The following is a 25,470-nucleotide window of genomic DNA, read 5'->3' as shown; positions in this document are numbered from 1 at the left end:
CCTCAGACAGACTGAGACCAGAAAATGGAAAAAGAATTCCAGAAATTCCTTAACCCCTAACTCACTTTGGAACGCCCCTCACACCTGATTTATAAACACTTGTAAGTCACTGGGGAGCTCAGGTCTCAAGCATTGGCCATCCATTCTCCTTGTTTGAAGCCCTACAATAAACACCTTGCCTTCTCTGTCTACAAATCCCCGTGTCAGTATTTGGTTTTGCTGTGTACTGTGTGAGCAGTCCCAGGTTCAGTTTGATAACACCAGGGATGTAAAACTCTGCAAGATGAAATTCTAGTCCATTTCCTTATTTTTCCTTTCAGGCACACTCAGCACCCTGCCTTATTGTGGACTGTCTAAAAAAGGGAGAAACCAAAGAGAGAAGTACAGAGGAAAAAGGGGAGAATGAAAAAGAGCAGGGAATAAGAAGAGATGGGGACATATAGGGGGAGAGAGGGGAGAGGAGGGAGGAAGATGTCATAGTGATAAGACCTATGACATATGTGTTTTGAGGTTTTAGATAAACTATTTAAAATTCAAGCAGCATTTCCTTAATTCTGCACTTCTTGCAAATAGACTGTGGCCTCACACACATAGAGAAGCATAGTTGGTCCTGCTAACAGTAATAGACCCCCAACCTTTGCGAAATGATTTGCATGATTCCAAGACACATCTCTGCTGGAAACATACTCTCTTCTCCTTGGCTTCTTTCACTATATCCTACCCTCTTCAGTATCTGCCATTGCCTGCCACTGTGTCCTTCTTTTTGGTTTTGGTCCTTGGGAAAAGTAATATGTATCTGGGGTAATATTTTTTGAAATATTTTTTCTTTGCATTCTCTTGTACAGACTGCCCACCCACCCCATTTTTCTAGAGGTATCTATTGCCTAACAGAGGGTTAGTACTGTTCTAGCAGGAATGCAAAGAAAACAGAAGCACTAATGAGACAGTCAAGTAAAAAGGGCTTCCCAGAGAATCTCCAACCAGCCTGTGTACTTGGAGGATGGGTGGGGCCTTGGGAAGTTCGTGCTGTTTGCAGCAGGGAGGAGCCTGTTCTCTCCTGTTCCTGTGTGGGAATCTGGGATTCAGTCTGTGAGATGCGGCCCTGTTAACAGGAACCCCTGTTGCTTTGCTGAGAGTCTTTTTTTTGCCCAATAAATTCTGTTTTTCTCACCCTCCTATGTGTTCATGAGCCTAATGTTTCCTGGTCAAGTGACAAGAAACTGGTTTTTAGCTGAACTGAGGAGAAAGTCATACAATGCTAATATTCAGTTTATCATATCTAATAGGGATTTATGTGGAAGATAGTGTTGGGCTAAAGCGAGGCTTTGCTGAAGGAGATAGAATTTTCTAAATTCACTTAGCTCCCGATGGAAATTCTTCTGGGGGCAGAAAAAATACCTTCCACTCATGCCTTATAGGTCATGAGACTTACTGCCCTAGGGATGTGGCAGGCCAGGTCTCACTAATGCAGGCCTCCATAACAACTGTTTCATTATTGACTGAGTGGTTAAGTTAAATGTTAAAAGCTAAAAAAAGCCAGTGCCCTTATACAAAGGCTGGAATGTAACAAAAGCCCACCAAGAGTTTTGCCTAGGCCCTTCCTGGGCCTTAAAGCATGACAAAATAACGAAGGAATTATTAACAGGACCAATTTGGGATTAAACAAGTTTTATTGTGGGTCTGAAGAAGCTCCTTGGGCCTCCACAAACAAGTTTATTGGGGGTCTGTAGGAACTCTCCAAACCTCCGTGATTTAGCAGGAGACAAGATAAGGGTAATCACCCCAGCACCTGGACCCATTTAGATTAAGTAAACTTACTGAGGCTCCAGAGGAAGGTCTTCAGGACTCAGACCTTAGTTACAGACTAAAAGAAGTTAATCACATATGTCTTTAGATGAATGCGCACTTACACAAAGACATATAGCTTAGAAGGTAGGTAAGCTCTGGAAAACTTTGTGATCTTGAGTTGGTCTGGCGATAATTTCCAGGCCTTCTCCCTGCAGCTGGTTACAGAAATAAAAACTCTCTTTCTCTCCAGTTCATCGGCATCTTGTTATTGGGCCATGAGAAATAGCAGCCCCATCCTCAGTTTGGTCCAGGAACAGAGATAGAGAAAGATACTTACTCACACATTAAACAACTTCCTGTCTATTATGTGCTGGGCATTGTTCTAAGTGTTAGGAATACAGCAAGTGAACAAAAGAGGCAAACATTCTTTATTTAGGAACATGCATGCAGTGGCGTGTTGGTAAAGGTTTAAAACTGGCCTTATGGAGAAAAGGGCTCTGCTGTGCAGTCCTTGCTAATTATATGTTGTAAATATTCCCACCATGGCTGATTTCAAGTTACCAACATGATCTCACCAGAGTTCAGAAGGGACGCATACACTTGGTTCTCTTGAACTAGTATGAGCTGGTTATAGTACACAGATGCCTATATAAGTGATAGAACTGTGTGTGTGAGAGAGAGAGAAAGAGAGAGAGAGAAAAATAGTGTAAAATTCAGGATAATAATTACTTCTAGAGGACAGGCAGAGGGGCAGGATGACGGCAAGCACAGAGATAGGTATAAGATACTGGTAATGTTTCAGTTTCTGGACTGGGTGGTGATTTCATGATGGCTCATTATATTATTTAATTAATAAATGAACAACTGAAAATAAAAGAGGAACATGCATGAAACCAATGAAAGTAATACATTATGAATGAAAAATTCGGATTAATCCAATTCTGTGTGACTGAGAACCAGGTAAGAAAGTGAGATATATCATACAGAATGTCAAAAGCTCAAAATCTCTCTTTAGCTGGAGAAATGATGGGAAGGAGAAGATCCAGAAGCTGTCAGTAGAGATGGGCACAGGGCAGATAGACAGGTTCTTGCACCCCCACATAAAAGCCTAAACCGGCCAGGCAGAGTGGCTCACACCTGTAATCCCAGCACTTTCAGAGGCCAAGGTGGGCAGATCACGAGGTGACAAATTCAAGACCAGCCTGGCTAATATGGTGAAACCCCATCTCTACTAAAAATACAAAAAATAGCCGGGTGTAGTGGTGCGCACGTGTAATCCCAGTTACTCAGAAGGCTGAGGCAGAAGAATCACTTGAACCTTGAACCTGTGAGGCGGAGGTTGCAGTGAGCTGAGTTCATGCTGTGTCCAGAATTGGTGGGTTCTTGGTCTCACTGACTTCAAGAATGAAGCTGAGGACCCTTGCAGTGAGTGTTACGGTTCTTAAAGGCGGCGTGTCCGGAATTCGTTCCTTCTGATGTTCGGGTGTGTTCAGAGTTTCTTCCTTCTGGTGGGTTTGTTGTCTCGCTGGCTTCAGGAGTGAAGCTACAGACCTTTGTGGAGAGTGTTACAGCTCATAAAGGCAGCGTGGACCCAACGAGTGAGCAGCAGCAAGATTTATTGCAAAGAGTGAAAGAACAAACCTTCCACAGTGTGGAAAGACACCCCAGTGGGTTGCCACTGCTGGCTCCTGCAGCCTGCTTTTATTCCCTTATCTGGCCCCACCCACATCCTACTGATTGGTCCATTTTACAGAGAGCTGATTGGTCTGTTTTACAGAGAGCTGATTGGTCCGTTTTGACAGGGTGCTGATTGGTGCATTTACAATCCCTGAGCTAGACACAAAAGTTCTCCCAGTCCCCACTAGATTAGCTAGACACAGAGCACTGATTGGTGCATTTACAAACCTTGAGCTAGACACAGAGTGCTGATTGGTGCATTTACAAACCTTGAGCTAGATACAGAGTGCTGATTGGTGTATTTACAATCCCTTAGCTAGACATAAAGATTCTCCAAGTCCCCACCAGACTCAGGAGCCCAGTTGGCTTCACCCAGTGGATCCGGCACTGGGGCCACAGGTGGAGCTGCCTGCCAGTCCCTCACCGCAGGGCGCCTGCACTCCTCAGCCCTTGGGCAGTGGATGGGACCAGGAGCCGTGGAGCAGGGGGGCGCTCGTCGGGGGAGGCTTGGGCCCTGCAGGAGCCCACGGTGAGGGGAGGCTCAGGCATGGCGGGCTGCAGGTCCTGAGCCCTGCCCCATGGGGAGGCAGCTGAGGCCCAGCGAGAATTTGAGCGCAGCGCCGGCAGGCCAGCACTGCTGGGGGACCTGGTGTACCCTCCGCAGCCGCTGGCCTGGGTGCTAAGCCCCTCACTGCCCGGTCCGGCGGCACCGGCAGGCAGCTCTGAGCACAGGGCCCGTCGAGCCCACGCCCACCTGGAACTCGCACTGGCACGCAAGCACCCCGGGCAGCCCTTGTTCCTGCCCACGCCTCTTCCTCCACACCTGAGGGAGCCGGCTCTGGCCTCGGCCAGCCCAGAAAGGGGCTCCCACAGTGCAGCAGAGGGCCGAAGGGCTCCTCAAGCACGACCAGAGTGGGCGTGGGGCCCAGGAGGTGTCCAGAGCAAGCAAGGGCTGCGAGGGCTGTGAGGGCTGCCAGCACGCTGTAACCTCTCAATGCCACTGCACTCCAGATGGCAACAGAGTGAGACTCTGTCTCAAAAAAAAAAAAGCCTAACCTGGTAGCTGCTTTTGAAGCATCAGTACACATGACCCACTTTCTCAGGTGACCCAGAGAGGAGCTGCACCAATCACAGATTGATGGGGATTCAGTGTGGAGTGTGGGGACAGTGGAGACAGGGTTCAGTGGTACAGGCAGTGCCCACAGGTCACCGTGGAATTCGGGGGACTGAATGTTTCTCATGTGCCCCAGTAAGAAAATATGGAGGTGCCAAAAGCACTGGTGGACTGGTTTGTCCTGCCCTGGCCAAGACTGTGCCACTGAAGTAAAGTGGTTGGACTCACAGGCTTCAGCAAGGGGAATTTATCAAGGGGAATTTGTATCTGTTTTTAGGTGGGAGGGGGTAGAATAAGGCAGATATCTTGTCTTTATAATTCTCTGTCCTGTTTTTAAGCAAACAGAGGGAAGACAGAGCTCTCCTGCATCTGCTTCTTAATTGCTTTAGTGTAAAAAAATTATGTTAAAGAGGCATATTTTGAGGTGGTGTAATCTGGTTTCCTTCAGAGTCAAGGAAGAGACCAAGTCTTGTGCCACTAACTTTTTTTTTTTTACACAATTTTTTTTTTATTGCTTGAAGACTGAAAGCTTCTTGAAAAGACAGGCCACGGTTTACCCATGTTTGTATTCCTAACACCTAGCATTGTGGCCAGTCCAGAGCAGGAGCTTCAAAATCCTTGTGGAATTGAACTGAATGATCTTCTTTCAATCCTACTCTCTCCCCTTGCCTGCAGCATCCGACCTGCCTCCTAACTTCAGAGAGAAAAATCAGACCTGGGACAACATACACACACCACCACTCTCCTCCTCTCACACTGCAGGAGCAGGTTTCCCGAAGTTCTTTCTTTGGCCTTCTGTTCATTCCTTCTCATTCCACCCATCTCCCCATCATGTCTCCTGTCTCATGGCAACACTGCTGTGACAAGTTTCATCTCTGTGGGGCTCTGGAGACCCTTCAAAATGTGGCTTTAGGCTGCCTGTTCAGCCTCATTGCTTGCTGTTCTTCACTCTGGCCAGGCTGCTTTCCCACAAAGTGGCTGCTTTCTTCACCACTCCTGTGCCTGGGATGCCTTTTCCTCTTCTGACTCCAACCTTTACATCTCATTCTTCATGGCTCCAGCACAATGTCAATCTTGATGGTGAAAGATTTAGATGAAAGCAAACATATGTTTTCAAAATCTTACGTCTTTTAAATCCTAATTTTTCAGGCATTTAGGGACAAAGAGCTAAGAAAAAGAAAATATCAATCTCCTCTTTCTTCTATGTCCTCTGCATCTTTCTCTTAATTTCTGCTCTCCTCCCTTCAAAACACAGACACACACAGACACACAGGCACACACACACACCAACACGCACGCACACACTCAGAGTGGTAACTTTCATGGGTGGAATCCCTGGTGCCAACAAGATTATTTAGGATCAGGGGAGTTAGGACCCACAAACTTCTCATCTTTCCCCAGCTCTGACTCAATTGCTGTTGGGCTCTTCTTACATCTGTTAAGAATAAGACAGAGTAGGGAACAGAGTAAGGGATGAGTCAATATTAGAAGTTTAAAGAAAGGAATTAGAGAACTGGAATTGTTTTAAAATGCTGGGAAAGTGACTCCCATAATCCCAGAGATTTATGCCGTTGTTTATAGTGACTAGCAGGGAAGGAATCGTCAAATCTTTGGAGCTTGAAGAAAATAATTTTCCCACCTATGCTAGCAAAGAAAATTGCTATTGATTTGTAACACTACGGTTAGAGTTGAGGCAATAATTTCCCTTCTAAATTCTCAAAAATGTAGCAAACCAGATTTTAGTTTGTGAAAACCATAAAAATTTCTGACTAAGCCAGGGAGAGAAAAAGAGTGTGTCTGGTAGAGTTTATTATGCGACCAGGTTGAAAATGGGACATTTCGAAAATTGAAAATTATTCTGACCAGGTTGAGAATGGGACATAGGGTAATGGTTGATTTCATGTGTCAACGTGGCCAGGCTGCATTACCCAGATATTTGATACATTATTCTAGATGTTTCTGTCTTATAAAAAAGTGTTTTCTAGATGACATTTACATTTAAATTGGTATATTTTGAGTGAAGTAGCTTGCCCTCAATAATGTGGATGTGCCTCATTTAATCAGTTAAAGGCTTTAAGAAGCCTGGTTTCTGAATTCTGTGGGCAGTCGGCCTTCTGACTTGAACTGCAGCACTGACTGTTCTCTGGGTCTCCAGCCTGATGGCCTCCTTGCAGATTTTGAACTTGCCAGCCCTGCAATCATGTGTGGGTCAATTCCTTAAAATCTCTCTCTCTTTTTCAATAGACACATAGACAGATGAAGATCAATTGATCTATCTATCTATCTATCTATCTATCTATCTATCTATCTATCATCTATCTACATCCTGTTGATTCTGTTTCTCTGGAGAACCTTAACTAATTTATTGTTCTACATAAGCTTGGAAACTTCCCTGAAGAGTGAATTCATAACATCTCAACACCGACCTTACTTTCATTCTACCTTTAGAAGCAGATCATTCTAATATCTTTATCTCCCTTGGAAAAAAATTATAAGCATTATCTGTGGACAAGGAGAAAGGGCAAATGAAGCCAATATAAAATTCAGTTTGATAGATATTAATTTTGTAGCACAATATGTGATTTTTTTTGTATGAACTAATTTTAATTACCCTCCCCCCATGCAAAAAAAGAAAAGGGAGGAGGAGGTAGAGAAGAAAGAAGGAGAAGAAGAAGAAGAAGAAGGTGAAATAAACAATAGTTCTTTAAAAGATATGTAAAACAAAAAGTGGCATCCGTCCAGGATGAATCAATAGGTTGGCCAACCCCTTTTCTAGTAAAATGATATTCAGCTGTAAGAAAAGCAACCACAAAGGGTTTTTTTTTTTTAATCTTTACTCTCTCTCTTTTTTTTTATAATTTATGAGTCGTACACAGTCTATTTCAAAGTCTCATTTAACTTTCTGTAGTGAATCATCCCCATTGCAGTTTCTTAGGAATGCTAGTGAATCACTCTTTTAAAATGTTTTAAGTACTTAATGTTCCTTAGTATTTAACATTCAATAAATTTGCTGTTACTATTTATGAATGCTTGTAACTATTTTTATAAGATAAACATTTTCCAGAGAATTGAGTATTTAAATGAGATAAGAAAGGATACTGTCTGATTTCTGAAATTCCTGGAAATATATTGAGTGGACAAGATCAGGAAACAGAATAGCATGGTATAAAAAGCCCTGAATTTGAAGTCTGTGTTCTAGTGCTGGCTGTAATTACCTGGGTCATCTTAGGCAAAGCTATTTATCTTTGAATCTCAGTCATCATCTTATCTATAATATCAGAATTTTATTATGGGCATGAGAGATTATTTTACATTAGAGGGCTTGCTGCAGAGAGGGATTCATCTGCCTTGGTGTGATTTAGTAGAATCAATAGTGTAACATGTAGCAAAAATGCATAGTGGGAGGAGGTGAGAGAGTCAAGAGGACATTGCAAGGGTCTTGCCCAGGAGCTCTGGGCTAAAAAGAACCAGGTGACCCCCCTGGGTTGACAGGAAGGTCTAGAATTGGGTCAACAGAGTTTTTCCTCCAACCTAGGCTTGAAGGAGGGGCCTAGAAAGTATAGCCATAGAGCATGGCTGAGCAGGATGAGAACTCACCACATGGCCTGGGTGTCAAGTGTTCTTTCTAATGGCAGAAGGTGTAAGAGATCCCTGCAGATGGGGGCACCTCTGGCCTGCAAAACCAGAATATCCAGGAAACTTGCTTCTAAGGAAATTCCAGCTCTTTCAGGAAGATTGCCTTGAAAGGGATGGTTCTTGCTATCAAGGAGTGCATGTGTGGATAAAAATACATACCTCTCTGAATTGTCTGAAGGATAATGTACCTAAAGGACTTAGCACAGTGCTTGGTATGTAGCAGGCCTTCACTAAATGACAACTGTCATTGTGTTTACTGTTACTATTATAATTTTCAAATGGGAGAAGGAGGTGTGAGAAATGAAAGCCCATAGAAAAGGCAGACTCTGAATTATTTCTGAGTTACTCTAGAAAGTACTTAAAAACACTTGGTGTTCTCTGGATGAGCAGAACATAATCATAAACTGATGTAGCTCAGATAATTCATCTGAATTATCATGACAGGGGTGGGCCAGGGAAGCCTAGAGATGTGAGGTTTCTAGAGCTGCCTGGAGGGGGCTAATGCTACCCCACAGGCCCATGTCCACTGGGTGTGGGAGGCCTGAGTAAGTCATGGGTGCTCTTGTAAATGAGTAGGTGATTATGTTAAAGCATCAAATCAGCATACATGTATTCATTAATTTGTGTTAAGCAGAAATACTAGGAAGAGGAACTAACAAGTCCCGCCACAGTCCAGGCACTGAGCTTATTTTATACTTTGTAATGGTCTTAGGTGTATCCTTCCTCCCATTTTCTATTTGAGAAGACAGAGGTACAGAGAGCTTAAGTGACTTTTCCTAGCTGGGTCTAAAACTGGGATGGAAACCCAGGGCAATCAGTCCTCCAACTCCCTGTATTTTCCTCCACACGGTATTTTGATTGTGTAAGCTCCTTTCTGCGCCTTCTCTTTCTTGACAGCATTATTTCCTAAGCATTCCTCTATATGCAAGTAATTACTATTTGACATGGTACTTTGCAGTAAAACTGTCCTCTTGTGGGCACTGACCTACATTTTTTGAAGTGTTTTCCTCGTGGTGTTTGTTAACTGTTGCTGAGTAGCCTGCTATTTCTCAGGGTGCTGGTGAATTCGGTGATGGCACATAGCTAAGCAATTGGCATGTTTCATGGCTGCAAACCACCTGTGCCACCAAATAGGAGAAACAAAGGGAAATCAAGTGTACAATATGGTACAAATGTCAAATGCCAAGATTCAAAATTTCTTGTTTTACTGGATGATGGATACTTTTCTAAAACATATGCTTCTTCCTTCACTGTTTTATTTACAGATGGATCATAACTCATACAGCACTAACGTTAAGCATATTTCCTGTTCACTATATTGGACTAAGTTTTTTCTGCTTTTAAACAACGTATCTAAACTTAATATAACATTAAAATATTTACGGTAGTATTGATAATTTCTCCAACTTGGTGTACTGTAAAAATGCAACTAAGGAGAAAAAATTAGGTTATAGTTAAATTAGTAAGACTTATATTCTTTTTAAAAATGAAGAAGCTAGTTAAATTTGGATCTTCGTATTACTATTTTTCATTAATTCTCATTTCAATGTTACAAGAATTAGTTCTAATTCTTGTAATATTAATTACACAAAGAATTAGAACTAATTCTTGTAACATTAAAATCCTTAAAGGCATTCTGTCACATCAAATATATTCATCTTTAATTAGGAATATTTCCAGTTAACTAAAATTAGGTCATGCCAAACTTTCTAAAATACTACGCTCAAAATTCTGGTTGATTTTTGACATCTCCAAAGCATCTATATACAAAATGAAGAATAATCCTTATCAAAAATTTCAGTTTTTATTCAGAAAACACTCCCACATTTACTGTAGTTGCCAGTGCCCTCTACATGTTCACAAAATAATTACTTTTTGAGAAAAATGTTCGAGGAATGTATGAGTCGTTTTCCAGGCAATCACCCACTCCTTTCTCTGATGGTTAGGAGTTTTAGCATTTCACAAGTAAAAACATCACTTTTTGTTATTGATATAAAACCTGGATTTTGAACAATAAGTCCTAAAGCAGCAGAGTGCCGTGGTAAAGAGTGAGATGCTAGAAACCGTTCTGCTGCCTTTCCTTTCAGTGACTTCCCACTGCTTTTGTTCACTGATGTTGTATATACTATAGGGTCCGCCTTCACAACTTTCCACTTGCGTGGAATTCCATCTGTTTAATCAAACTGAAACAAAAGGTAGTGTCAATGTCCTTATATCTTGAAAGATTTCCTTCCTGATATATTATCTTGGTAACCCATTGCATCATTCAGAAGAATAAATACCCCAGCTCAGCACACAGGAAATGTAACAAGAAAAGGAAATAGACGATATTAAGATACGTACATGTGTATATCACACACACACATATACACATGTATGTGACACACACATATACACATGTATGTGACACACACATACACACATATGTATGTGACACACACATACACACATATGTATGTGACACACACATACACATACAATAAATGGAGAAAAACAGAAAGTGTATAAATGGCAAATTCCAATTTTTAATGAAATAAATAAGTAAAAAAGTTCTTATGAATAAATTATTAGCCAGTTCAAAGTAAATAACTGTGTAGCTTGTAAGTTTTTCTTCACAAAAGATGCAAAATCAAGTGAACTCCCTTCCATCTTAGTGACAACTGGGCAGAGTCCAAACTCCTTAGCACAATACACAATGCCATTTACAACCTGACCCTGTCTAGCCTTTTTAGATTTGTCTCTGTCACTTTGTCTCCATTCTGTATTTCAGCCAAACTCAACTATATTCCCTTTCTCCTGAATCTCTCATGCATTTTCAAGCCTCTCTGCATTTGCCTGCGCTGCTCTGTCTGTTCAAAATTCCTGCCTGGCAAACTCCTACCCATTCTTCAATGTCCCTTCTTCTTTCCTTTGCATAGTCACTGTCACAGTTCTCTGTGCATGTTTTTGCTATAATAGTCAATGGACTGAATTGCATTTAAAAAAAAATTTCCATGTCCTTATCCACTATTAACAGTGAATATCTCAATGACTAGGACTATATCATATTCATCTCATCTCCCCAGGACATGACAGGACTTATTGAGGAGAGACTCAATAAGTGTTGGTTCAATTAATAAATTAAACAAGAGGATTCCAGAGAGTCAATAAAGGGGAGTGAAAAAGTAGAGTGGGAGGTGGCTCAGCCTTTAAACAAAGAGACAATGAATTCACCATATTTGTATGAAATTCCCTAGCATGATACTTCGTTGTCCCAGCAGAGGTCTTCACTCATCAGCTAAGAATAGGGGGAAGGTCTGGCAGCTCAGGCATCACACAGGAGAGAAGCGTTCCTCCACAAGGAGACTCATGTTACAGTAGCACTTCTGGAGGCTTCCTACCCTCCCCTCTCCTACCTTAGCCTGTGGTAGTGTCCTCTTACTTCCTTCCAAAAATAGTCTAGGGAAGAGGACCAGGACCTAGATGATTTCATCAAGTTGGGTTCTGGGCACACTCCAACAAGCTAGGTTACAGACCTACATGTAGGAATTTATAGTTTGCAAAGCACTGTCACATAGGCACATATATCACCTCATTTAATCTTATTTCGGGCTAACTTAGGTCATCAGATGTAGAAGAAATCTTAACTTAAATAGTCTAAGGTAAGCCACCCTGATAAACCCAGCCTAATTGCATGTTAAAACTCACTTTGGAGTGTGAAGATAGATGATGGTATCCTTGTTATAACCAAATATTAATAAAATGTTTTGTTGTTTTAAAAGTAATAGACAGTGTAAAAAATTAAACTATGTAAAAGGCTACAAAATAATATACAAATGTAATCTTCCTATTCTAACCTCAAGAACCCCATTCTTACCCTGCTAAGGTAACCACCATGAAAACTTTCTTCTATATCCTTCTAGAAATGTTTTCAGTGTATATGTGTGCATACATATACATACATATGGGTTACATAAAAATATTACAAGTATTTATAAGTGTAAATGTATGTGCCTTATGTAAATATACATTTATGTATAAATTATGATCATTAACATATAAAACATGTAACAAAATCATACCTATATATGTGTGTATATATACATATATATACAATAATTCTATATAAAATCCTATCTATGTGGTGTGTGTGTATGTGCAACCATGAACCTAGCACTGTACTGGATATTGAGGGGAATGGTTGCTGGTGGAGGCTGGTGATTGTGTAAAAGGAAGAGATAGTTCTGCACAGATGGTAGCATTATTTCTGATTATATGCCAAAGTTAATATACTGGATCGGGTACCAGTTTTTTTGTGGGTAAAGCATATAGCTAGCTGTTCACACAGTGCCAACTTACTTTCTGGGCCCAGGCTGATTTGGTCAGAGAACCTTCTTCCCTAGGAAGCTTGATCTGTAGTTCCCCTTATCTAGTGACACGTAGGAGTTGCTTTGCTGTTACAGCAACAGCCTGTAACTGTTTGACTTCCAAGACTGACCTGCTGGTTCCTTTGAAAACAAACCCATTGGAGTGACCAGTGAAGTCATCTATGGTGGTAATTGACTGTTTATTGTCTCCACTTGGCCTCCCTGCCAGTGACTAGAGGGTAAACACAATGTTTCAATCATCTTTGTTGCCCCAGCACAGACTCCACACTTCAATGTGCATTTGTTGAACAGATCCAAAGCTGCAATTGGCACTTAACACAGTATCTCACCTGCAGAGTCTCCACTTTGGAGAGGTAGATGCCCTTTCTTTATGATACGTTATCAAAGGCATCCTCTCTTCTAGACACCATGTGGAAGTACATCATTGATCTTTAATGCTTCTGGTTTCCTCTTTTACCCTTAAACTGCTTTTGAACTGTCAAACTGAAGCAAGCCATTTGGTGATTTCTATGCTTGGCATCTGGGGTTATTTGGGGTGTGGATGAGGGCAATTGCTTTATATTCTGAAACACTCATGCAGAGCCTGAGTAATCTTTGCTTTTCTGGGGAAGGAATAGCTTACAGTCTCTTAGGAAGTATGCAGCGCAAAAAGAGAATAAAGCAATGACAAAACAACAACAGCAACAACAAAATGGAAAAAAGATAAAAGACTAAGAACTTAAACTCTACAAATTTATGCACACACATTCTTTAATGAATTAGTTTCTAGACTTGAAAGCAGTTCAGCTAGACCGGAATACATCAACAGTCTTAGTTCTGTCATGGAGTCTCCAGGGAGGACTGCTAACTCCAGCCTCAGCCTCCTCATCTGTGGCACGGGTTCACTGGGAAAGAGGAATTAACTCAAGACACAGTAGTTGGCATTGACTCTCTGATGAAGTTCCAAGTGGGAGAGTTAGTATACTTGTGTATATGGAGAGAGCAGAAGCTACAGGGATATGGATTTTGACTCCATTTAAGGAAGAACTCTCAAATACAAAGCTTTCCTAAGGTGGAATGGCCACTTTGTAAGGTGATATATTATTTGATACTGAAAATATTTGAAATGTCCTGGATATAAGAATGTATTAAGTGGATTCCAAGTTCCCTGACATCTTTTACAAATATGATTTTGTGTCTCGTTGATCGCTAAGGCAGCATTGTACTATATAACTTTCTGCAGTGATGGAAATGTTCCGTATCTGTGAGGTCCAAAATGGTAGTCACTGACTACCTGTGCTTATTGAGCACTTGTATGACTGAGGAACTGATTTTTTAATTTAATTTAATTCTAATTAATTTAAATAGCTACACGTGGCTAGTGGCTACCATATTAGACAGTGCTGCTCTAAAATCTCTACCAGCTCTATAGTTTGAATTTTTTAAGCTCTCATCATTATCATTTTATAATCAAATACTGTGTCCTGGACACTGCGTATAAAATTGCTCTATTTAGGATATGGTCCTGCTTTAGAAAAAAATCACCTTCTTGAGAGAAAAGTAGAACCCATGTAAAAACACTGAATTGGAATAAGGAATAAGGATACATAGCAAATAAACTACTGCCAAACTAGAAAGTGCCCATGTCCAAACACTCTATTGTAGAGCCACAATTAAAACACAGGTGTTTCTAAGAAGCATAAAGATACGAAGACCAGCTCCTGTCCTTTGCTGTCTTTGGGGTGGGAGGGAAGTAGCTTTAGGCTCGAGGCTCCCACTGATGTGTTATTGTGCTGAATGCAGGATTCTTCCCTCAGTACCTACTCAATGGTCTGCTAGTGTTTTCCTATACATTAAGAGTAATAGAGGCCGGGCACGGTGGTTCACTGCGCCAAAGCTTTGTATTTCAGAGTTCTTCCTTAAATGGAGTCAAAATCCATATCCCTGTAACTTCTGCTCTCTCTATATACACAAATGTACTAACTCTCCCATCTGGAACTTCATCAGAGAGTCAATGCCAACTACTGTGTCTTGAGTTAATCCCAGCACTCTGGGAGGCCAAGGCAGGCGGATCACGAGGTCAGGAGATTGAGACCATCCTGGCTGACGTGGTGAAACCCTGTCTCTACTAAAAATACAAAAATTAGCCAGGTGTGGTGGCGGGCGCCTGTAGTCCCAGCTACTTGGGAGGCTGAGGCAGGAGAATGGTGTGAACCCAGAAGGCAGAGCTTGCAGTGAGCCAAGATCGTGCCACTGTACTCCAGCCTGGGCAACAGAGCGAGACTCTGTCAAAAAAAAAAAAAAAAAAGAGTAATAGAGATGTAGAACAATGTGATAAAGTGACTTCAAGCTTCATGTTACTTCACCAGAAAGAAGAAGGTCTTTGAGTTGGATTTTATCATTTTAGATGAGGAAGAAGCCCTGAAATCTAATCCTCATATTTTACAGAGAAGAAAACTGACACCTGAAACCCAGAAAAGACTTGTGCGTTGTACAGTCATGTGGTTATTTAATAGTAGACTATTTCATTTGTGTAAATTAATAATGTAGTAAATAACAGTTATTCTTCTTCTAAAATGTAATCTTTTTCTAAAAAAAAAAAAAAAAAATGGCGCCTCCCAAGAGCTTCTTGGAGTTGAAGGAGAGTCAAGCACATCATCTAACAGCATTTCTCTGGAGTGTTTCACAGCTCTCCTGTTTCTTAAAGGGGTGACACAGACATTTATTGAAAACCTGGTTTGAGGACTGGACTGAACTTCTGCTTGTGTTTATTTCAGCTAAGACGTGGTCTCCCCAGACCTGGTCCCAAGAACAACTGTCATGTGCTCAAGGTCTGCTCTGGGACCATATTCTCTCCAAACAAGGCTCTTTATAGCAGTTGCCAAGAAGAAATTCTTTCTTCTTATAATTCATTGAACATCCTTGTAAGTCACCTAGAGAATGGCAAAATCTAAACAAACAAGTTCTGTTTTCAATTTGTCTTCCTGAAAACCAAACTTCACCCACATGAAACTAGCTAGCATGCCTCAAATACTGAAAGCTTCTAGGTACTTTCTGAGTTTGCTCTGACTCATGTCTTACCTACATATTTATTCTTAATTAAAAAGAATCAAATAAAAGACAGAAGAGAAATTGGGCGCTCTTTCAACAAATTGATTCTTCGTATACCTTCATTTTTTCTTCATTACCATGTGAACCTCTTTCTTTTTCCTTGGAATGAATAGAGAATTCAGATAACTAACATATTTGGAAGATTTTTTAATGGAACATTTAGATTTTACAAGTTCAGCAATTTAAGGAAAGCCACTCTATATCAAGTGCTATGATCTAATCAGATTTCTTTTCATAATGACTAGTAGATTTTCATGATGTCAGTTGCCCATCTAAAACCCATAATTGGTTTCCAAATGGGACTTTTCTGGATTAAATATGACCTCTTAAGCCTGGCAATCTATCGTTAACTTTTTCTTTCCCTCTACCTAGCAAACATCTTCAATTCACTCTTCATCCCCACCCCAACACACTCCCTTTTTCAGCCAGGCTTTTCTCCTTACTATGCTCCCTCCTCTATATTTTTCTTTTTTCTTTCTTTTTTTTTTGGTGAGGGGATGGAGTCTCGCTCTGTTATCCAGGCTGGAGTGCAGTGGCACGATCTCGGCTCACTGCAACCTCCGCCTCCCAGGTTCAAGTGATACTCCTCTCTCAGCCTCCCGAGTAGCTGGGATTACAGGCACCTGCCACCACACCCGACTAACTTTTTAAATATTTTTAGTAGAGACAGGGTTTCACCATGTTGGCAAGGCTGGTCATGAACTCCTAGCCTCAAGTAATCTGCCCACCTTGGCCTCCCAAAGTGCTGGGATTACAGGCGTGAGCCACCACGCCCGGCCACTCCCGACATTTTTCTTGTGTACAGGCCTCTCCTACCTTCCCTGCATAACATTCCATACCTCATTCCCACTATTCAGGACCATCATTTCTTCCAAGAACTGGCTTAAAGCTCTTTCTCCTTTAGAAATATTTCCCATCTAAGCCCATCCAAGACTCATGTTCTGTGACTTGCCTATTCTGAGAATCACTGAATGTTTGTTTGTCTTGATTTTGCATTACTTCTACGCAAAAAGCTTTAGAGCTGGGGAGTTGGGGTTAGGAGGAGACTACACAGATACCCTGCCATTCTCCAGATGAGGAAACTGGGTTTCAGATTGAGTGATTTGTCCAAGATCACAGGATTAGAAGCTGCATCTCCAAGACCAGGCTATTTTCACCTCATCATATTGCCTCTTAGTTTTATATGTGTCATGCTAAAAACTTGGAAGACTAGAAATAGTATTACATAGTATACAAATAAAAGTGCCCAACTGCATTAGAGTGCTGCTTATGTTTCTATTACTAAAAATTGTGGCTACTACCATTTGTGATCACTTACTGTGAAGGAGGAGCTGAGCTAATTACTTTACATGTATTTGTTAATTGGCATGCTGTGTCTGAGACTGCTGGACCATGTTCCCCAGCCTTCCCAGCAGTGAGATGCAACCATGACACTGAGTTCTGGCTAAAGGAATGGGTGTAGAACTGGTGTATGAAGCTCCAGGCTTGGCTCATAAAAACCTCCTTCATGCCCTCTCCTCCTGCTCTGTTGGATGGATGTTGGGCTCCAGGGTGACCTTGGAAGCCCAAGTTGAAGATGGTGGAGTCATTAAGATAAAATGAGCTTGGTCCCAAATCAACACTTGTTGGAGAGCTGTCTGGTGATCAGTAGGACCCCTTTGAACTGTGATGTGAGCAAGAAATAAACTACTCTTGTGAGGCCACCAAGATTTTGGCTAGCATTTACCTGAATACTCATTTTTAAACTTAATTCTTACAGCATCCCTATGAAATAGTTATTATCCCCATTTTACAAATGGAAAACCGAAAATGAAAGTGGCTACAATTCTTGCATGAGGCATAGCCAAGATTTGAATGCAGGCCTGTCTGACTCCACATGCCTCCCCCTCCCTCTCTATCTCTCTCTTTCTATCCTGAACGCAGAAGTTCCTGTGGCGAACTTCATCAAGGACTTTCACAGATAAGAACCATTTTCCCTAAAAGAGCTCCTGAAGGAAGCACTAAACATGGAAAGGAACAACCGGTACCAGCCGCTGCAAAATCATGCCAAAATGTAAAGACCATCGAGACTAGGAAGAAACTGCATCAACTAATGAGCAAAATCACCAGCTAACATCATAATGACAGGATCAAATTCACACATAACAATATTAACTTTAAATATAAATGGACTAAATTCTGCAATTAAAAGACACAGACTGGCAAGTTGGATAAACAGTCAAGACCCATCAGTGTGCTGTATTCAGGAAACCCATCTCACGTGCAGAGACACACATAGGCTCAAAATAAAAGGATGGAGGAAGATCTACCAAGCAAATGGAAAACAAAAAAAGGCAGGGGTTGCAATCCTAGTCTCTGATAAAACAGACTTTAAACCAACAAAGATCAAAAGAGACAAAGAAGGCCATTACATAATGGTAAAGGGATCAATTCAACAAGAGGAGCTAACTATCCTAAATATTTATGCACCCAATACAGGAGCACCCAGATTCATAAAGCAAGTCCTGAGTGACCTACAAAGAGACTTAGACTCCCACACATTAATAATGGGAGACTTTAACACCCCACTGTCAACATTAGACAGATCAACGAGACAGAAAGTCAACAAGGATACCCAGGAATTGAACTCAGCTCTGCACCAAGCAGACCTAATAGACATCTACAGAACTCTCCACCCCAAATCAACAGAATATACATTTTTTTCAGCACCACACCACACCTATTCCAAAATTGACCACATAGTTGGAAGTAAAGCTCTCCTCAGCAAATGTAAAAGAACAGAAATTATAACAAACTATCTCTCAGACCACAGTGCAATCAAACTAGAACTCAGGATTAAGAATCTCACTCAAAGCTGCTCAACTACATGGAAACTGAACAACCTGCTCCTGAATGACTACTGGGTACATAACGAAATGAAGGCAGAAATAAAGATGTTCTTTGAAACCAACGAGAACAAAGACACCACATACCAGAATCTCTGGGACGCATTCAAAGCAGTGTGTAGAGGGAAATTTATAGCACTAAATGCCTACAAGAGAAAGCAGGAAAGATCCAAAATTGACACCCTAACATCACAATTAAAAGAACTAGAAAAGCAAGAGCAAACACATTCAAAAGCTAGCAGAAGGCAAGAAATAACTAAAATCAGAGCAGAACTGAAGGAAATAGAGACACAAAAAACCCTTCAAAAAATCAATGAATCCAGGAGCTGGTTTTTTGAAAGGATCAACAAAATTGATAGACCGCTAGCAAGACTAATAAAGAAAAAAAGAGAGAAGAATCAAATAGACACAATAAAAAATGATAAAGGGGATATCACCACCGATCCCACAGAAATACAAACTACCATCAGAGAATACTACAAACACCTCTACGCAAATAAACTAGAAAATCTAGAAGAAATGGATACATTCCTCGACACATACACCCTCCCAAGACTAAACCAGGAAGAAGTTGAATCTCTGAATAGACCAATAACAGGCTCTGAAATTGTGGCAATAATCAATAGTTTACCAACCAAAAAGAGTCCAGGACCAGATGGATTCACAGCCGAATTCTACCAGAGGTACAAGGAGGAACTGGTACCATTCCTTCTGAAACTATTCCAATCAATAGAAAAAGAGGGAATCCTCCCTAACTCATTTTATGAGGCCAGCATCATTCTGATACCAAAGCTGGGCAGAGACACAACCAAAAAAGAGAATTTTAGACCAATATCCTTGATGAACATTGATGCAAAAATCCTCAATAAAATACTGGCAAACCGAATCCAGCAGCACATCAAAAAGCTTATCCACCATGATCAAGTGGGCTTCATCCCTGGGATGCAAGGCTGGTTCAATATACGCAAATCAATAAATGTAATCCAGCATATAAACAGAGCCAGAGACAAAAACCACATGATTATCTCAATAGATGCAGAAAAAGCCTTTGACAAAATTCAACAACCCTTCATGCTAAAAACTCTCAATAAATTAGGTATTGATGGGACGTATTTCAAAATAATAAGAGCTATCTATGACAAACCCACAGCCAATATCATACTGAATGGGCAAAAACTGGAAGCATTCCCTTTGAAAACTGGCACAAGACAGGGATGCCCTCTCTCACCGCTCCTATTCAACATAGTGTTGGAAGTTCTGGCCAGGGCAATCAGGCAGGAGAAGGAAATAAAGGGTATTCAATTAGGAAAAGAGGAAGTCAAATTGTCCCTGTTTGCAGACGACATGATTCTTTATCTAGAAAACCCCATCGTCTCAGCCCAAAATCTCCTTAAGCTGATAAGCAACTTCAGCAAAGTCTCAGGATACAAAATCAATGTACAAAAATCACAAGCATTCTTATACACCAACAACAGACAAACAGAGAGCCAAATCATGAGTGAACTCCCATTCACAATTGCTTCAAAGAGAGTAAAATACCTAGGAATCCAACTTACAAGGGATGTGAAGGACCTCTTCAAGGAGAACTACAAACCACTGCTCAAGGAAATAAAAGAGGACACAAACAAATGGAAGAACATTCCATGCTCATGGGTAGGAAGAATCAATATCGTGAAAATGGCCATACTGCCCAAGGTAATTTACAGATTCAATGCCATCCCCATCAAGCTACCAATGACTTTCTTCACAGAATTGGAAAAAACTACTTTAAAGTTCATATGGAACCAAAAAAGAGCCCGCATTGCCAAGTCAATCCTAAGCCAAAAGAACAAAGCTGGAGGCATCACACTACCTGACTTCAAACTATACTACAAGGCTACAGTAACCAAAACAGCATGGTACTGGTACCAAAACAGAGATATAGATCAATGGAACAGAACAGAGCCCTCAGAAATAATGCCGCATATCTACAACTATCTGATCTTTGACAAACCTGAGAAAAACAAGCAATGGGGAAAGGATTCCCTATTTAATAAATGGTGCTGGGAAAACTGGCTAGCCATATGTAGAAAGCTGAAACTGGATCCCTTCCTTACACCTTATACAAAAATCAATTCAAGATGGATTAAAGATTTAAACGTTAGACCTAAAACCATAAAAACCCTAGAAGAAAACCTAGGCATTACCATTCAGGACATAGGCGTGGACAAGGACTTCATGTCCAAAACACCAAAAGCAATGGCAACAAAAGCCAAAATTGACAAATGGGATCTAATTAAACTCAAGAGCTTCTGCACAGCAAAAGAAACTACCATCAGAGTGAACAGGCAACCTACAACATGGGAGAAAATTTTCGCAACCTACTCATCTGACAAAGGGCTAATATCCAGAATCTACAATGAACTCAAACAAATTTACAAGAAAAAAACAAACAACCCCATCAAAAAGTGGGCGAAGGACATGAACAGACACTTCTCAAAAGAAGACATTTATGCAGCCAAAAAACACATGAAGAAATGCTCATCATCACTGGCCATCAGAGAAATGCAAATCAAAACCACTATGAGATATCATCTCACACCAGTTAGAATGGCAATCATTAAAAAGTCAGGAAACAACAGGTGCTGGAGAGGATGTGGAGAAATAGGAACACTTTTACACTGTTGGTGGGACTGTAAACTAGTTCAACCATTGTGGAAGTCAGTGTGGCGATTCCTCAGGGATCTAGAACTAGAAATACCATTTGACCCAGCCATCCCATTACTGGGTATATACCCAAATGAGTATAAATCATGCTGCTATAAAGACACATGCACACGTATGTTTATTGCGGCACTATTCACAATAGCAAAGACTTGGAACCAACCCAAATGTCCAACAATGATAGACTGGATTAAGAAAATGTGGCACATATACACCATGGAATACTATGCAGCCATAAAAAATGATGAGTTCATGTCCTTTGTAGGGACATGGATGAAATTGGAAATCATCATTCTCAGTAAACTATCGCAAGAACAAAAAACCAAACACCGCATATTCTCACTCATAGGTGGGAATTGAACAATGAGATCACATGGACACAGGAAGGGGAATATCACACTCTGGGGACTGTGGTGGGGTCGGGGGAGGGGGGAGGGATAGCATTGGGAGATATACCTAATGCTAGATGACACGTTAGTGGGTGCAGCGCACCAGCATGGCACATGTATACATATGTAACTAACCTGCACAATGTGCACATGTACCCTAAAACTTAGAGTATAATAAAAAAAAAAAAATTATTAAAAAAAAAAAAAAAAAAAAAAAAAGAACCATTTTATGCCCTTATGCAGAAATGCATCAACTCTGTCCACCACCAACAGATGGCAGTAGTGGTTGCCTGTAAACCAGCACTTTGAATTTATGAACAAATGGACTTAAGAATATTATGAAATAAAACATAACCTGTGTGTGCACAGAGAGTTTCCAAATGTTTTGCTGCCTTTTCTCTGGTGAGGGATAATTTTACCTTTTTGAGAATTATCATTGCCAAGTTATTTAAATGCCCGGGGCTTGTATAGTCTAGAATCATGAAGAAATGGTCTAGAATGAGACCATTTGAAAAAATGAGGAAATTGGTTTAGAATCATTTAATAACCAATATGTTCCCTTCAGACTCTGACATTTCATTGTGCACATGTGAGAAAATATAAAAAACTGGACCCACAAAGAACTGGTAAGCTTACAGTTCACACTGGGCTGCCTGTCTCCCCAGGGGAGCCAGGGTAGGTAGGACAGGACTCCTGAAGTTATGTTCTGTGATTACTCTTGACAACAGGTAAACCAGGCTACACTAATGCCAAAGTTAAGCTGTCTGTATTTATTTATTTTGCTTCTCTATATTTTAAAACTTTTCCTTCAATGAACACATGTAATTGTAAAATTAAAACAATATTGAGAAAAAGAAATCACACACATGGACACTCAAAAACCAAGCAAGCAATGTGAAGGTCCTGTTATAAAGAATGACACAGTAGAGCAGAAAGGTTGATGAATGGGCTTTGGGTCATGACAGTTCTGGGTTCAAAGTCCGACTCTCCTGCTTACTTACAGTGTGGCCTTAGGTAAGTTTCACACCCTTGCTAAGACTCAGTTCTGCCATCCATTAAAAAGGGAGGGGGTAATGCATCAAAACCATCGGGCTTTGTGAGGAAACGCACATGAGCCAGAGGGTCTGGGATGGGATGTTGAAGATGGTGAGGGTAATGTACACAGGATTACATTTAAATGGTTTCCATTGACAATAAAATCATAAAGAGCAATTATGTACCAATTATTTTCTCTCACTTAACATATTAACCAAAGTTGTTTTTTGGTGTGTATGCAATTTGAATTCCCCAGATCATCATATGTTCCTCAAAACAGAAGTCATATCTTCTTTTTATTCTCCAGCGTGCCTGGTTTGTGGGCATGGGAAGAGTGTATGTCAGTCAATGCTTCTTGCTTGAGTAGGGGGATTATGATACTCCCTGGCTTTACCTGCAATCATTCAGCTTCAGATTGTTACAGAGCAGTTTTATAGCATCACAGATAGATATAAAGAAGAGGAAAAGAAGGTCTACTGGGATGCCCACCATGCTGTGAATACTATAGGACTGTCTTGAACAATATGTAGCTACTCACTACATGTGACTATTTAAATTTAAATTTATTAAAAGTAATAAAATTAAAAACACAGTTCCTCATACCAACCACATTTCAAGTACTCAATAGCCACAGGTGGTAATTGGCTACCCTGTGAAACTGCCCAGATATTGAATATTTCCCTTATTGCCAAGTTCTAGTGGATAGTGCTGCTCCAGAACTCCATAGAAAGCCCCTGAAAACTGGAGAAAGAGAATTTCCAGGGGCAGGGCCTTCTTTTTTCCTCAATGTCAACTTATTTAAAAAACTCTTTTTTTTTTTTTTTTTTCAGATGGAGTCTCAATGTGTCACCAGGCTGGAGTGCAGTGGTGTCATCTTGGCTCATTGCAGCCTCAGCCTCCTGGGTTCAAGCCATTTTCCTGCCTCAGCCTCCTGAACAGCTGGGATTACAGGTTCCTCCCACCATGCCCAGATAATTTTTGTATTTTTAGAAGAGACAGGGTTTCGCCATGTTGGCCAGGCTTGTCTTGAATTCCTGGCCTCAAGTGATCCATCCACCTTGGCCTCACAAAGTGCTGGGATTACAGGCTTGAGCTACCGCACCCAGCCTAAAAAAACTATTAAATGCAAACTATGTACCATATTAATGGCTACCACTTATTAAGCATTTAGTATGTGCAAGGCATAGTGCTAAAAACATTGTACACATTATCCAATTCTCACACTCTGAAAGGCAGGCATTATTAACTATTATAACAGTTATTACTACTGATAAATAATAATTGTAACAAATATTATAATTACTAAGTTAATTAATATTAACTTGCTTTTTAGAAATGAGAAAACATAGGCTCAGAGAGGTTAAATCACTTGCCTGAGATCTCACAGCCTTCAAATGACAGAGCTGTGATTCAAACTCAGCATTTATCTGGCTTAACCGTCTCTGTACTAACCATGACCCACTACTGCCTTTCTCCTTATCATACCTCTCAAAGGCACAGTTTAGGAGTTGTGGAGATTTGCAGATGTATGAATCAGTCCCTACCTTCAAAGCTTCTCAATCTAGTGTAGGAAATAAATGGGTAGAAATACATATAACCATTTACATGTAATCCCCTGTACATTACCCTCACCATCCCCAACATCCCATCCCAGACCCTCTGGCTCATGTGCGTTTCCTCACAAAGCCCGATGGTTTTGATGCATTACCCCCTTCATTTTTAATGGATGGCAAAACTGAGTCTTAGCAAGGGTGTGAAACTTACCTAAGGCCACACTGTAAGTAAGTAGGACAGTTGGGCTTTGAACCCAGGACTGTCATGACCCAAAGCCCATTCATCAACCTTTCTACTCTACTGTGTCATTCTTTATAACAGGACCTTCACATTGCTTGCTTGGTTTTTGAGTGTCCATGTGTGTGATTTCTTTTTCTCAATATTGTTTTAATTTTACAATTACATGTGTTCATTGAAGGAAAAGCTTTAAAATATAGACAAGCAAAATAAATACATATAACTAAATATAATTACAAAACAAGCTCTGTTAAAGAAGAATGATGTTAAAGAAGGCTAGGTCATAAAAGACATCACAGCTTCCACCTACTCTTGGATTGCTCACTCTGTGGGAAGCCAGCCGCCATGTTGTGAGGCCATTCAAGAAGCTCTATAGGGAGGTCCACGTGGAGATGAACCTGTGAGACATAATAAGTGCTTATTATTATTTTTAGTTACTAAATTTTGGGGTAATTTACTATGCAGTAATACATAGATAATAGGAGAGGCATTAGATTACTTTGTGATCTCAAGCTTGGGTGATGATGGAGCTGATTATCTATTTTTTTTTCTTTTCAAAACATAATCCATAACAACAAGCCAGTTTGTGATCCAATTTCATATGAACTTCCATTCAAGGAACAACTGTCTGGGAACTGAAAAGTAGATGAACACTATTTAAGCTTTTTTTTTTTTTTTTTTTTTTTTTTTTTTTTTTTTTTTGTGAGACGGAGTCTCGCTCTGTCGCCCAGGCTGGAGTGCAGTGGCGCGATCTCGGCTCACCGCAACCTCTGCCTCCCGGGCTTACGCCATTCTCCTGCCTCAGCCTCCTGAGTAGCTGGGATTACAGGCGCCCGCCACCACGCCTGGCTAATTTTTTTGAATTTTTAGTAGAGTAGGGGTTTCACCATGTTAGCCAGGATGGTCTCGATCTCCTGACCTCATGATCTGCCTGCCTCGGCCTACCAAAGTGCTAGGATTACAGGCGTGAGCCACCACGCCTGGCCTATTTAAGC

General features: G+C 40.8%; 1 long non-coding RNA gene across 1 annotated transcript in view; it reads right to left on the bottom strand.

Annotated features, from left to right (window-relative positions):
• Window positions 1–25,470, bottom strand: part of IL21-AS1 (IL21 antisense RNA 1) — a 70,174-nt gene that overhangs the window by 14,660 nt on the left and 30,044 nt on the right. Inside the window, exon 10 of the long non-coding RNA NR_104126.1 lies at window positions 24,786–24,873. This is a non-coding gene — a long non-coding RNA (IL21 antisense RNA 1). The remainder of the gene's footprint in view (window positions 1–24,785; window positions 24,874–25,470) is intronic.

Source organism: Homo sapiens, chromosome 4, assembly GCF_000001405.40.
Source record: "Homo sapiens chromosome 4, GRCh38.p14 Primary Assembly".
NCBI classification, from domain to species: domain Eukaryota; kingdom Metazoa; phylum Chordata; class Mammalia; order Primates; family Hominidae; genus Homo; species Homo sapiens.
The sequence above is the reverse complement of the archived record's forward strand: the minus strand, read 5'-3'. Positions and strand labels throughout refer to the sequence as shown.